Source organism: Homo sapiens, chromosome 3 (genome assembly GCF_000001405.40).
Source record: "Homo sapiens chromosome 3, GRCh38.p14 Primary Assembly".
Lineage (NCBI taxonomy): Eukaryota > Metazoa > Chordata > Mammalia > Primates > Hominidae > Homo > Homo sapiens.
The window spans coordinates 157,281,358-157,295,095 of NC_000003.12; the positions used below are offsets into that span (position 1 = coordinate 157,281,358).

Sequence of the window (13,738 nt, forward strand, 5' to 3'; positions counted from 1 at the left end):
AATATATACTCAGTAGTCCCAGTATATCAGTGTGAAAATGTGAAGTTATTGTATAAAAAGCATTCCGTTGTTTTTGGTGCTCTACCAACACTTAGCACGTAGGACAGTGCTCTAACACATGTGGTAGAAGAAAAGACATCATACTACAATGCTAGCCACCACATACATCAAAATCGAGTTTTCTTTTTTTTTTTTCTTTTGAGATGGAGTCTCGCTTGCCACCCGGCTGGAGTGCAGTGGCATGATCTTGGCTCACTGCAACCTCCAACTCCCTGGTTCAAGCGATTCTCCTGCCTCAGCCTCCTGAGTAGCTGGGATTACAGGCACACACCACCACAGCCAGCTAATTTTTGTATTTTTAGTAGAGATGGGGTTTCACCATGTTGGCCAGGATGGTCTCGATTTCCTGACCTTGTGATCCGCCTGCCTCGGCCTCCCAAAGTGCTGGGATTACAGGCGTGAGCCACTACGCCCGGCCAAAATTGAGTTTTCTTTTATCACTTTTAAAGTTCTATGAAAGTTGACATTGAAATTTAATGGAAAAGCTTCATATTCATAGACTCACAAGGCTATTGGTGGCCTTATGGGCTAGGTCCTCTCAGAGGTCATTTAGTTCATTTTCACATTGGCATCTAGAGTGGAAAAATAATCTAGCTCGCATGAAGGGTGCCCCCAAAGGAGACCCACAACTGCTGTTACCAATTCTTTTGACTGTCTGAAAAAACTCTCCTGACACAGGAGGCATTTTGAAACCATCTCCATTTGCCCATGTATTCATAATCTAATATAATATAATAAATAGCACATTCTTTTTTTATTCATATTTATTTATTTAGTTAATTAGTTTAGATTTAGAGACAGGGTCTATGCTATGTTGGCCAGGCTGGAGTGCAGTGGCTATTCATAGGCATGATCATGGTACACCACAGCTTCAAACTCCTGGCCTTAAGCAATCTTCCCGCCACTCTTTCCTGAGTAGCTGGGACTACAGGCACGTGCCATTGCACTCAGCTTGACAGTATGTTCTTATAACACAACTATTTGAAATCAAGTTCTAAAGATGAATCATGATAGAAAGTTGTTTGAAAAAATTGTTCCATTTTCTTTTAGAACCCAAGAAGACCTTCTACTGATGATCACATTCAAATTTTAAATGTCTAGTGACTAAGAGACTAATCACATGGGGCTGCTTAGATTTATCGAGGAGGACAGGAGTGCCAAAACTCTAAGTTGTTTTTTGTAGGGTGTAAGAACAAAGGCATCTCATGTGTCTCGAGAAATGAGTGAAAGTCATGACCCAGTTCTTCCTCCTACTTTAACAAAATGTGACTGAAGAGGAAGCCAGATGTGTTCTAGGACAGACCAGCTGACTAACTCTTACTGTCAACATACACTGTGCAATTCCAAGACACAAGGGCAACTGATAAAGAAGATTAGCTTGGTTTTCCAGAAATAAGTTCTGCTCTGTTCAATCTCCTTGCTCAATCTCCATTCTCTCATTCATGTGGAATAACAAGATCTGCAATAAACACCACCAGGCAAGTCTCTGAGGATTACTGAGTTATTTCAGAAATTTTCTAATCTTCTACTCTGAACTTTTATAAAATGATTATCAGAAAATGAATCAGCAGTTGGAAGAATAGGAAATAGATTCTACTGTAATCATTTCCTGCAAGTAATAATTTCTCACACATTATCATAATAAAGTCTCTGTTCTTCTTTAAGTAGAGTAAGTCATCGAGGAAGTAGATCACTTCTAAAAAATTAAACTTGTCTCTGGGTCTTTATAATATATTATAACATTACTGAATGATTGCTCTTGAAATTTCCAATATTTCATGTCCTTAACTTGAATTTTCCCTACAGGTTGAAAAGTCAGGTTCTGGAATTGGCTGTCTGGATTAAAATACTGGTTCCATCACTGAGAAGCTGTGTGACCTTGCGAAAATTACTTAATCTCTTTGTGTTTCAGTTTTCTGATCTGTAAAATGAAGTCAATAATGGTGAGAAAATGAGAAAAATGCATGCAAGCTTAGCATATTATTAGAGTGATAAATGCTAACAATTATAAATCATGTCAGGGCCTCTACATTATTTTAGCATTTACTTTCCTCTGACTATCTGTACATTACTGGATAAAAATATTTTATTGATCACCAGATATTAAACTCCTGTGAATTTCTGTGTGTTGATGGTGAAGTTGGTGGGAGGATGGTGATGAGACTTACTTGAAGACAGGAATGTATGTGAGTTGACCATGTCAGTAAGCTGAGATACTGTCAATTTCTGAAGGATTCCTCTGGCTGAGTCTACACAGTTAAGAAGTATTATATATTTCTTGATGTCTTTCCTAATGTCTAACTGAAATTCTCTAATTGTCTCATGTTTTATTCCTCATTTATGGAGATGCTGGACAGCATTAAAAAATATTGAAACGTGAATACTTGAAAACAATTACTGTATCATTTGTCAATTCTTTTAAAAAATATCAAAAACCCAGTTTATTTGGCCTTTTGTTCTAGACTTCAATTCTACTTCTTTGGACCCCTTCTCCCTGAGGCTGATAGGGCAGCTGGCCCCTGTGTGGGTGTTGATGAAACCCAGACCAGTACATAGTACTCAGTTGGGCATAGTACATTCTAGGCGCTAAGACAGGCAGGTAAGTGGATCAAGCCTTTACAAGCGGTGACTTCTCTCAGGGAGGAAACAGCCCTAATCTTCATTTACCAGGTTCAGAATGCTTTGGGTATGGTATAGTGATGAATTTGATATCGTTACCATATAATCACAATCTTGAAACATCACATTTTAACATTCAAGGAATATTTGACATTGCCATTTAAAAATATTATTCATTCATTCATTCATTCACTCACTCAACAAATATAGCATGCTAAAAACATAAAAGAAGTATGCTAGATTTTTTCGAATACACCTTTTGGCTCTAACTGGATTATGAATTTCTTTTAGAGCAGAGACACTGTACCTTATTCATATTTCTATCCCAAGGGTCAGCCTGTAGAAGACACTCACCTAATGCAACAAACATGCATTGCATAAATGAAAAATTGGATGCAAGGAATATGCTAGCTGTGCATGACCAATAAAGCATTTGTTGCTATGTCTCATCTTTAAACTTTGAATTTAAGCAGAACTTGAATGCAAATACTGTCTCCATGAAAAATATATTTGGCAACAATATTATGTTAGACCTTTCACTTAGATTAAATATATAATTTAAGTGCTTATATAAAAAAGAAGATGAAATCAACAACCTATATAAACTATCCAGGGAGTCAAGGGTTTTGGTGAAAAAAAAAAAAAACAGTTTAAAATAGGACTTTTCTTAAACTCAAATCCTCTTTCATGTAGCAAAAGGAAATGAGCAAAGAAATCCAAACCCACTGAAGTTTTCAGGGCCAAACATTTTGATTCAATATGCTCTGCTATAAAATATTTGGCCTTGTTTGAATTTTTATTGCTATATGTTCTCAGTCTATATTTAACTGTGAGGAACACAAATAAGAAAGAGTAAATGTGCAGAACGTTCATTTCAAGAGCATGGCAGTGAATTTGAGAAAACATGTATTAAAGGAACACTTTGTGTTTTTAACTTTCAGCCCCTTTTCTGAGGCCTCCCTTGGCCAGATATGATTAAATATTTATCAAACTAAGGACTCAGCTTACTTGGAGTGAAAACTCTTCAGGGCCTCTCAGAGATACCTAAGATAAGTACCTTATTTTAGTAGCTCTCAAATAAAGCTTCTTTTATGCTCTGTCTTTTTCATATATAAAATAAGGTCTAATTAGAAAGTTTTATAATGGAGGCAGTCAATTCCCCAATTCCTTATTTGTTTGAATTAACTTTTAAAAAATTGGGGTGTTCACTCTGGCGTTGGCTCAATCCAGACTCTGTAATCAGCCAACAATCTGTGCTTCACAAAGGCTGGCGTCCTAACTGCCAGCTTCTGCCATCCGCACCTTTTCCGTGGGGTAATACATTTTAATTGGTACTTCTCTGAGAGCCCTACACATCTCCATCTGGCCAAATAAACATACTTTTACTATTCAGCCTCAACATCTTGGCAGTTAACAAGAGGACAGACTTGCCACAATGGGTAATCTTTAAGATGCATAAAATCCTAAAATTAAAGGACCAGGTACAGGTGGTATAATCAATGGCTGCCTAGAAGATGGCTCATCTACAAAGTGGCTTTGTGTTCCACAGTCTTTTTAACACTGCTCTTGTGATCCTAAATGCAGTTCCTGAGCCGAGTCAGCATTGAGAGCTCTCTCCTCTCAAAGGGCACATTAGTGATGAAATATTTCACTTCCAATGACAGCATAACTTTTTGGATATAGGCTTATTAGCAACGTGTTTCCACTGGTTGGATTGAGCAAGTGTAACCAGAAGGCAGAATGGTGAAATGGTTAAGAGCATGGGTTCTAGAGTCAGGCTGCGTTCAAATTCTGCTGCTGTTAATTTATCTTTGTGACCTTGGGCAGTTACCATACCTCTCTGTGCCTCAGTTTCCTCATCAGTAAAGCAGAGATAATGTCAGTATTTTCCTCATAAGAGTATTGCAAGGACTGATTAAATGAGATAAGGTGTCTGATATGTTTAGCACAGGGCATGACTTGTATTTGCTAACAATTATTTTTAGGCAAGGTCAGTAGACCAAATAACTTGAGCAGCAGAAAGGAAGTGGAAGGCGAATAACCAGCTATGAGGTTATTTCTCAGATAATTTCTTCCTATTTCAATGCTTCACTTTTTACAGTTTAATCATCAAGCAACAGTGTTAGGGATTACGTGAGATAATATGGTCTGTGTGCTGATTCACTCATTTAGTGTGGTCTCATTTCCTTAAAGAACACATCTTGAGAGAACACTTTTTTTCTCTCTAACCCTCAGGGTCATCTGGATGAAATGAATACTTTTAGGGCAAAATGGCTGATACTGCTTCCTTGATAACCACATATAGGTAAGGGATTGTTTCTCTGCCTCCCAAAGTTTTCCCTTTTTCCTACGACCACTTTGGTGAGACGCCTTTCTCAGCACAAAGCAGGGACATGACTCTGTGCATTATTACAACTGGGGATGTTTATGCAAGAGGAAGGCCACCTAGAAAAATGGAGCTGACAGATCCCTGTAATTTGGGGCACAAATGGTTCTTAGCAGCAGGTAAGGGTCTCTCACCAGTTGCTTTCTCAGGATTGTTGCACATGAAGCATTGCCATGCTCCTGCTGTTTCACTGAAGCCAAACACGTCAAAGAACCTCACTTCTTCCAGATGGAGCTGTACCTGGTCCAGATCCTGTGTCAGGAACACAAAGCACAAAGAACATAAGCTGCTCTGCCTGCTACCTAACATTCTGAGACTGGGAGAAGGGGATGTGGATCAGGATGGTCAATGCTCAATCTCAGTACTAAAGACTAAGAGGCAGCATTGAAAAAATTTCTCTTGGCCAACCTTAAAAAAAGCATTCAGCTAAACTTTTCCAGAAGAGTATTCATAAATGCAGCGGGAGCGAGCACAGGCCCCAGGGCTGAGTGTCAGGGTTGAGGTGTCAGAGCTTGAAATGGCCCAGAATTTTCTTGCATCTAGCAGTGGCTCCAGATTTTCTAAAAAGAAGGGATATCCAAGTGGCAATGTGGTTGGAAGACATGCTGCTGGGGGATTTACATTTATATAAAATTGAGAACCAATTATCCATATCAAAAAATATTATTGGCCGGGCGTGGTGGGTCATGCCTGTAATCCCAACACTCTGGGAGGCTGAGGCAGGCAGATTGCCTGAACTCAGGAGTTCAAGACCAGCCTGGGCAACATGGCAAAACCTCGTCTCTACCAAAAATACAAAAACATTAGCCAGGCATGGTGGTATATGCCTGTGGTCCCAGCTACTCAGGAGGCTGAGGTGAGAGGATCGCTTGAGCCTGTGAGGCGGAGGTTGCAGTGAGGCAAGATTGCACCACTGTACTCCAGCCCGGGTGACAGAGTGAGACCCTGTCTCAAAAAATATATATATATATAATATTTATTATGTTGGCTTTACAGGGGGCTGATGGAAAATATGGGGGTGGGGCTTAATCCCTCAGCCCTTGGCTCCAGGACTGTTTAGTTCTTTTGCTTTATTCTAAAAGTGTATGCAAATTTTGCATTCTATTACATAATATAAGCTACATTGATTTTTTTTTAATTTTTACTTTTATTTTTTTACTGAGATAGAGTCTCACTCTGTTGTCCAGGTTGGAGTGCAGTGGTGTGATCTTGGCTTACTGCAACCTTCACCTCCTGGGTTCAAGTGATTCTCGTGTGTCAGCCTCCTGAGCAGCTGGGTTTACGGGTGCCTGCCACCACACCTGGCTAATTTTTGTATATCTAGTAGAGACAGGGTTATGCCGTGTTGGCCAGGCTGGTCTCCAACTCCTGATCTCAAGTGATCCACCTTCCTTGGCCTCCCAAAAGGCTGGGATTGCAGGCATGAGCCACCGTGCATGGCCTGCATTGGTTTTAATGGAAAATAATGCATTGAATTATTTACCAATAAATTAGTTAACTTTTTTCCTCCAAGTGGTTGAGTAGAATTGACACTCCAAGAAGACTGCACATGTTTTATGTGCCCTGTGGCACCATGCCAATGAGTTCCTCTTTAAGGGGCAGGGCAGAGAGGTTCTGTTAGACTGTAAATGGATGGAAAACTATTAGCCTAACCAAATTAAATAGCTCTACTGTCCTCCTGAGGCTTTCCTCTTATGTAAATGACTTGTATCCTTTGGTATAGGATGGATGACCAGAAACTGCATTCTTAAAAGGCTCCTCCTCCTAAGAGGGACTTAATGTTCTTATTGGCCTTGCATGTACCCAGCCAACTAACATGTTTGTGCTCTGTTGAGCTGTGATTTTATTTCCTTTCCTTTAGCCTACACACTCTTATCTTCTCTCTGTATAGGAATAGTTCTTAGAATTTTCAAGGCTGAGGCGTGTAGGCACTGTTTGCACTGCTTATAAGGGATCTAAATAGAGAATGATCAAGTGGCTATCCTGATTGCATCCCAAAGCTCCTAATTCTCAGTTCTAAATTTCTTGACAGAGGTAAGAAGTATGTCCAACTATCAGTTCACTGAGAACAGAAACATATTTTTTTTTTTCATAATACCCCCAGAGTCCAGTCCAGCATCATTAATGGATTAGCATTGGTTTGTAGACCCAGCACAAAGTTTTTTACTAACGAACTATATAAAAGATAGTACAAAAAGTTAAAGGGAATTTTTAAAGAGAACATTTACACTCCCTGGAACATAAACACAATGAGGACAGATATTTTGTCTGTTGTGTTGGCTGCTATAAACTTGGCACCTGAAAGTGCCTATCACATAGCAAGCACTAAACAAATATTTGTGTAATAACAAAAGGCATGCCCTGGGCCTAGAAATGGATACTTTTCCGCATCCTCTATTAAGACTCTTATGGCTTGTGTTCTGGGGTTGGACATTTTGGAGGTTTGACATGGTGACTGCAACATTTTGGGTTGCTAACCTTTAATACCGTATCTCAGGCATTCCAATAGGTGCTGTATATCTAGGAATATTGTTTTGACAAAAATGATTTTGAATATGTTCAATGGAAAAAAAGACTTTTTTTTTAAAAAGTATGTTTTCCAAGATAAAGACTGAAGAAGCACCTGGGAATTTTGTGAGTTTCAAAGGATACAATCCATATTAAAATTTATGGGGAAAAAGCAGATGTTCATAAGTATCAGTTTCAAAACTGTGAAGTCTCTGAAGTCTGTACTTGGCCATTGCCATGCACATTACTTCTCTGTTTCCCACACAATTAAGGATCAATTTTTCATTCACCACAAACACTACTAGCAAACAAAGTACTTAAAATAATACTTAAGGGTTCCTTTATTTTTCCTGTTCTGAGACCAGAAAATTCCCAGTTTGTTGCGCATAATCCACATTTGTCTTGGAAAAAAGTTTAAACGTTTCAGACAGATGGTAAACTACCTTCCTGCGTTCAATTTCTGAAGCCAAAAGCAGGCTTACCTCCTCAGAGGATTTAGGTGTTGTGCTAAAGGATATCCACGGTAGTTGTATGAACTTTGAAGTTGGTGATAATAGCACACTTCGAATGGAAAGACAGATGAAACACATATAGTTTCCAATATTTGTGAAAAATCAAAGCAAAATAAATCACAAAACAAGCAAACACAAACCAACAACCAGTGACACCTAGATTTTTGGAATTTTGACCTCTTAAATGTGCTTGAGGTCAGTAGTTCTCTCTCCTACTCAACCTTCTTTACCCTTCTGGGTCCTGCAGCTTCCCTAGGGCTTGCCCAAGAATTGCTATATGGCTTCTATTTTTCTAACAGGAGAACAAAAATAGATTTGTTTAGAGAATTACAAACTTTCTTTAAGATAACTAGACTCCAGAAAAGTGATAAAAATAACTTATATCTAACTGTAAGTCACTGTCTGAGTATTTTTCAGTTCTAATGGGATTGTGGCAGACAGACCCTAAGGTGACCTCCCAGTAATTTTCACCTTGTGGTGTTCATCTGTTTGTATACTCCCATTCCCTGTGTATGGGAAGGACTTATGAATTGCTTCTGGCCAAGAATATGTCAAAGGGGATAGGATATCAATTCCGTTGTTATTATACACAAACACACACACACACACACACACACACACACACACACACACACACAACCTGTCTTGCTAGCAGATGCATAGGGAGACCCTCCTGCTGTGCTTGAAGGAACCAAATTGCCACATTATGAACTGCAGGGACTATGCGTGGCTTTTAGGATCTTAAAGGAGGCCTTCAGCTGGTAGCCAGTAAGAGTTCAAAGTCATCAGTCCTACAACTGCAAAAAAATGATTCTTGCCAACAAACAGAATGAGTTTGAAAGCAGATCCTACCCATTTGAACCTCCAAATGAAAACACAGCCTAGCCAATACCTTGACTGTAGCCCTGTGAGACCCTGAATGGAGGACCCAGCTAAGTTACAACTGAAATCCTGACACTCTGGTACTGTGAGATAATAAGTATGTGTTGTTTTAAGTTGCTAGGTTTGTGCTAATTTGTTACGCATTATTGAAAACTAATACTGAGATTGTGCCGTGAAGAGGAAGAAAAAATGACATCCTTTTGCCCAATTCTCCATGAAAGTGATGATTCTACTTAGAGGAGTCACATTCTCCCAAGTACACTCCAAATCAGGCCTCAATAAAACATATACACACAAAATAAAACACAAAAGAATGTTGAAGTTCAAACTATTTTCATTGATGTAAAAAAAAGGATACATATTCATAGTAGGCATGCACTAATAAGGGTTTTCCTGATAAACATCATTTAATTCAAGAAGATTAAAACTCACTGGAGGAAAAAATAGTATTTTTAAACATTTGGCTAAGTGAGCATTTCTCCGGTTTTAGAAAAAGAGTCATTAATGAGGGTAGGAATTTGGAAAACTCTATAATAAGTCTAAGCCAGGCAGCATAGAAAGATGAGAGATTTACAACATCATTTCACTGACAAATGACAGCATGAGTCAACGCAATGGATTTTGTAAAAGTGCATAGTGGCCTCTGGATTTTATAATGTGGTCTATGTACTTTGAGAGGGTACTGTGAAGCAATTTTCCAGAAATCAGTGAAAGCATACATCTGGAAGAACTTTGGGTTTTGGCACATTTAAATTCTGTCCTAAAGCTATTTGTGCACAGATACAAAACATAGGATTGCCTTATGTGCACTGTGTGCCTGTGGTTAATAGGATCACTCTAGGCACATATTTCAAGTATGTTTTAAGACATGTAAGCAAGTATTTTTAAAAATTCCCAAATATTTTCACATAATAATAAGTTTATGTTTGTATAGTTATTTTCAGTGCACATACTCTAATGATATGGAGTACAAGGTGTGAAATAAGCTTGCTTAGGGAATATAATTAATGATTGATCTTCATATTGTCTTAAATTGTTATAGGCATAGTGTCTAGTAGGAAATGCTGTTTGTTGAATAAATAAACAGCAAAAGAGACTTTAAAGAATATCCATGCCACAATTTTTTTATGTTTTTCAACTTGTGAAAAATATTACTATTGGATTCAATTTATGTAACACAGTATTCATAGCACCTGGTATCAGGAACCATGGATAAAGAGATGAAAGAGACATAGTCATCAGTCCAAGGAGGTGAGAAGGTAATTCATTGTGTCTGCAGTATTCTTCACAGAGGAAACTGAATACAGCTTCATTTGTGTGAGGTGTGATTGTTACTAAGCTTCTTCTGGTGTGATGTTTTGGCTCTCAACTGGATTAAAGCTCTTACCATGAAGACTGACTTCCATATTGTTTTGCAGCTTTTAAAAATACTTAGTATGGCACTTTGCCCATAGTAAATGTTCAATGAATTATTATGCATTTTTACTAATTGAAGCACATAGATCTTATCTCTAATTTATATCAACAGTAGCATTTAGGTTTTCAGTGTTCATGTCTATTCAACTATGACCATTAAGACTTTCCAGACTACATTTGTTAAAAAAATCTATCTCTCTCTCTATATATCTATCTCTATATATCTGCATATCTATGGGTATTACAAAAATTCATTTTATTTAACAAGTTTTTAGAATAAAGTGTTAATAATTGAACAATGATGTTTGTCTTAATTCATCAATATAGTATGTTGACTACTTGTTCTCAAGACCCTCAGCTTTTTCAGATCGTCTGTTCAGAGTTCTCGCTATGTTGCCCAGGCTAGTCTTAGATGCTTGGGCTCAAACAATCTTTCCACCTCAGCCTCCCAGAGTGCTGTGATTAGAAGTCCTGAGCCACTGCACGCCATCTACATTTTTACACAAGCTCCCCGAGTTGCTCTGGTGTGCCCTGACTGTAAAATTAATCCTATGTCTTTCAAAGCAGTTGTGGGGATGGCTGATTTGTGTCCACTGATTGGTATTTGAGGAATTTGTCAATCTCCATGTGCATATGCTCATTCTTTTCCACAATAGTTTGGTTTCAAGGGGTCAGGTATGGTGGCTCAAACCTGTAATCCCAGCACTTTGAGAGGCCAAGGTGGGTAGATCACTTGAGGTCAGGAGTTGGAGACCAGCCTGGCCAGCCCGGTGAAACCTCGTTTCTACTAAAAATACAAAAATTAGCTGGGCGTGGTGGCAGGCACCTATCATCGTAGCTACTTGGGAGGCTGAGGCACAAGAATTGTTTGAATGTGGGAGGCAGAGGTTGCAGTGAGCTGAGATCTCACCACTGCACTGCAGTCTGGGCAACAGAGTGAGACCTAAAAAAAGAAAAAAGAGGCCGGGTGCAGTGGCTCATGCCTGTAATCCCAGCACTTTGGGAGGCGGAGGTGGGTGGATCACAAGGTCAGGAGTTCAAGACCAGATGATGAAACCCCCTCTCTACTAAAAAAAAAAAAAAAAAAAAAAAATTAGCCAGGCACGGTGGCAAGTGCCTGTAATGCCAGCTACTTGGGAGGCTGAGGCAGGAGAATCGCTTGAGCCCAGGAGGCGGAGGTTGCGGTGAGCTGAGATCGCACCATTGCACTCCAGTCTGGGCAACAAGAGCAAAACTCCACCTCAAAAAAAAAAAAAAAAGAAAAAAGAAAAAAGTTTCATTTCATATGACAAAACAGGTAGACTGGTCACAAGAGCAAAGCTTTCATTTTTAAACATCAGAGATGTTATTATTCCAAATTGTGCAATACGGCAAGAAGAGATCAGGTGTGAAAATTGAACTCATTGGGCCCAATTTGAAACTTGGCAGAAGGCTGGAGTGGGTGGAGAGGGAGGTAGGCCATGGGGGAGCAGACTCTAAGCAGAGGCAGCAGGGCACTGATGTGGAAGGACTCATAGTGCATTTCAGTATTCTGCATGAATGCCATGCATGTGCTATGTCCCATTGGCTCTCATATTTCTATGCCTAATTAGTAAGGGAACTCGAGGTACACATGACTATATGAGGCCAATGTGGCAAACTCCTCACTATCACTACATATCACTAAATAAACTTATACTTCTATCCTTTGAGTCCCTATGTGTTGGGAAGAACTGAATTTCTTCTTGGAAAATCATGGCAATTCTATGTGTCTGGCTCCAAGTGGCTGGAAGAAAACACTATGTTTGATTCATTTCAGAGAGAAGCTCTGAAGAATACTTTAATTTAAGAACAAATATGACAAAATAAAAAAAAGCCAAATTCACCAAAATCACACTCATCTAAAAATCATGAAAAAATAATCTGACTACAGGATATTGGCAGTTAACATGACAAGAGTTTAAGTAAAACAGTTTGTGAAAAATTTAATGGAAGTGTATGAGTTGAGTAGAAAATAAAGGTGGCAAATTGCATGAAGCTATATAACAAGTTTTATAAATGTTTGATAAAACCACAATTATCTTTTTTACAAATACAATTTCTTTGAAACTTCAGTTCATTAAAACCAGCAAATTATTAGAGTGGGAGCAAGGCCAAAACACTACCAATGTTCAAAAGGTCAAGAAAACTTTAAGATTTTTACAGTGGTTCAGCAGTAAAATGTAATCACAGAACTTTTGGCAATTATAGCCAGCACTTACATATTCTCCTTTCATAGTGCAAAGCAAAGAATTGCAGTGATTTTTTTTTCTAATTGATTACTGCCACCTACATTCAACAAATATTTAGTACTACTTGTTAAATCTATTTGTGGTACTATACTACAGAGAATGCTGATGTTAAAGAGCTAATTTGGAGAGGCTTTTTTTCCTTCCTTTTGAAATCAGATAGCAGGAAAACCATGCTCCTAACCATGTAGGTTATTTAGTTGGAGCCAAGGTGCTTCTCTCATTCTCATAATTTTATTTTTTTTCCTTTATCCCTAATACCACTTTAATTCTCAGACTGTTTCTCCAACTTCCCCTTTTTATAAGTATTCACCTTTTGGGTTTGACACATGTCTTGGAACAGATACGTATTCTTGAAAAATACGTAGCAATGTTTATTTTTCATTTTTGCAAATAATGGTATGCTGTGAACCCTATTTGGTTTCTTGTTTGTTTCACTCAAGATCTCTATGTGGTATTCTATGCATATTTAGCTAACTGTTGCCTCTACAGCTGCACAGTGATTTAATGGTGTGCATCCACCACCCCCAACATTTCACCTAACCATTTCCTTAGTGTGGGCACCAAGGGTGCCCCCATCTCTGAACTTACACAATGATGTAATGATGAATATTCTTACACGTGTTCCCTTGTGGATGTGAGCAAAAATTTTTCTGTGATAATCACTCAGGAGTGGAATTGCTGTGTCATAGTGTATTAGTTTAGGGCTGTGAAAATATTTTTGTGTTTCTGCACAGTTAGGGCTTTTTGAACAAATTTTACTGAAACTTGGGACCTGGGCTAAAAAAACAAGCTTTAGAAGTAAATTTATGACTAATTAGAAAGTGAAATACCATCTAGAGAGATTTATTTTCCCAGAGGTATGTTTACATTTTAAGATGGGGATGAGACCCAGGATATAGGAGCTTGGGTTGTCAAGCTGGAGACATTAGTCTTCCCTTCAACCTGGAGGGGTTTATTTACATTCTAAAGGGTAAAAGTAAGAACCCAGACCCCTTCCCAATGAGCAAAGATTTTTGTTCTCTCCTTTCAGGGACAGCTGTTCCACCCCCTATGTAAATACTCAAATTCACATTGTCAAGGTTCCT

General features: G+C 38.6%; 1 protein-coding gene and 1 long non-coding RNA gene across 16 annotated transcripts in view; one reads left to right on the forward strand and one right to left on the reverse strand.

The window, feature by feature from the left end:
* The window catches only part of LOC101928236 (uncharacterized), a 220,247-nt gene that overhangs the window by 107,658 nt on the left and 98,851 nt on the right, over nucleotides 1-13,738 (forward strand). The window contains exons 4-5 of the long non-coding RNA XR_007096141.1: nucleotides 1,867-2,003; nucleotides 3,621-4,984. This is a non-coding gene — a long non-coding RNA (uncharacterized LOC101928236). The remainder of the gene's footprint in view (nucleotides 1-1,866; nucleotides 2,004-3,620; nucleotides 4,985-13,738) is intronic.
* The window catches only part of VEPH1 (ventricular zone expressed PH domain containing 1), a 243,864-nt gene that overhangs the window by 21,616 nt on the left and 208,510 nt on the right, over nucleotides 1-13,738 (reverse strand). For all 15 annotated transcript variants that reach the window (XM_047448927.1, XM_047448922.1, XM_024453748.2 and 12 more), the window contains one exon: nucleotides 5,200-5,317. In XM_047448927.1, the coding sequence (XP_047304883.1) occupies nucleotides 5,200-5,317 (118 nt within the window). The remainder of the gene's footprint in view (nucleotides 1-5,199; nucleotides 5,318-13,738) is intronic.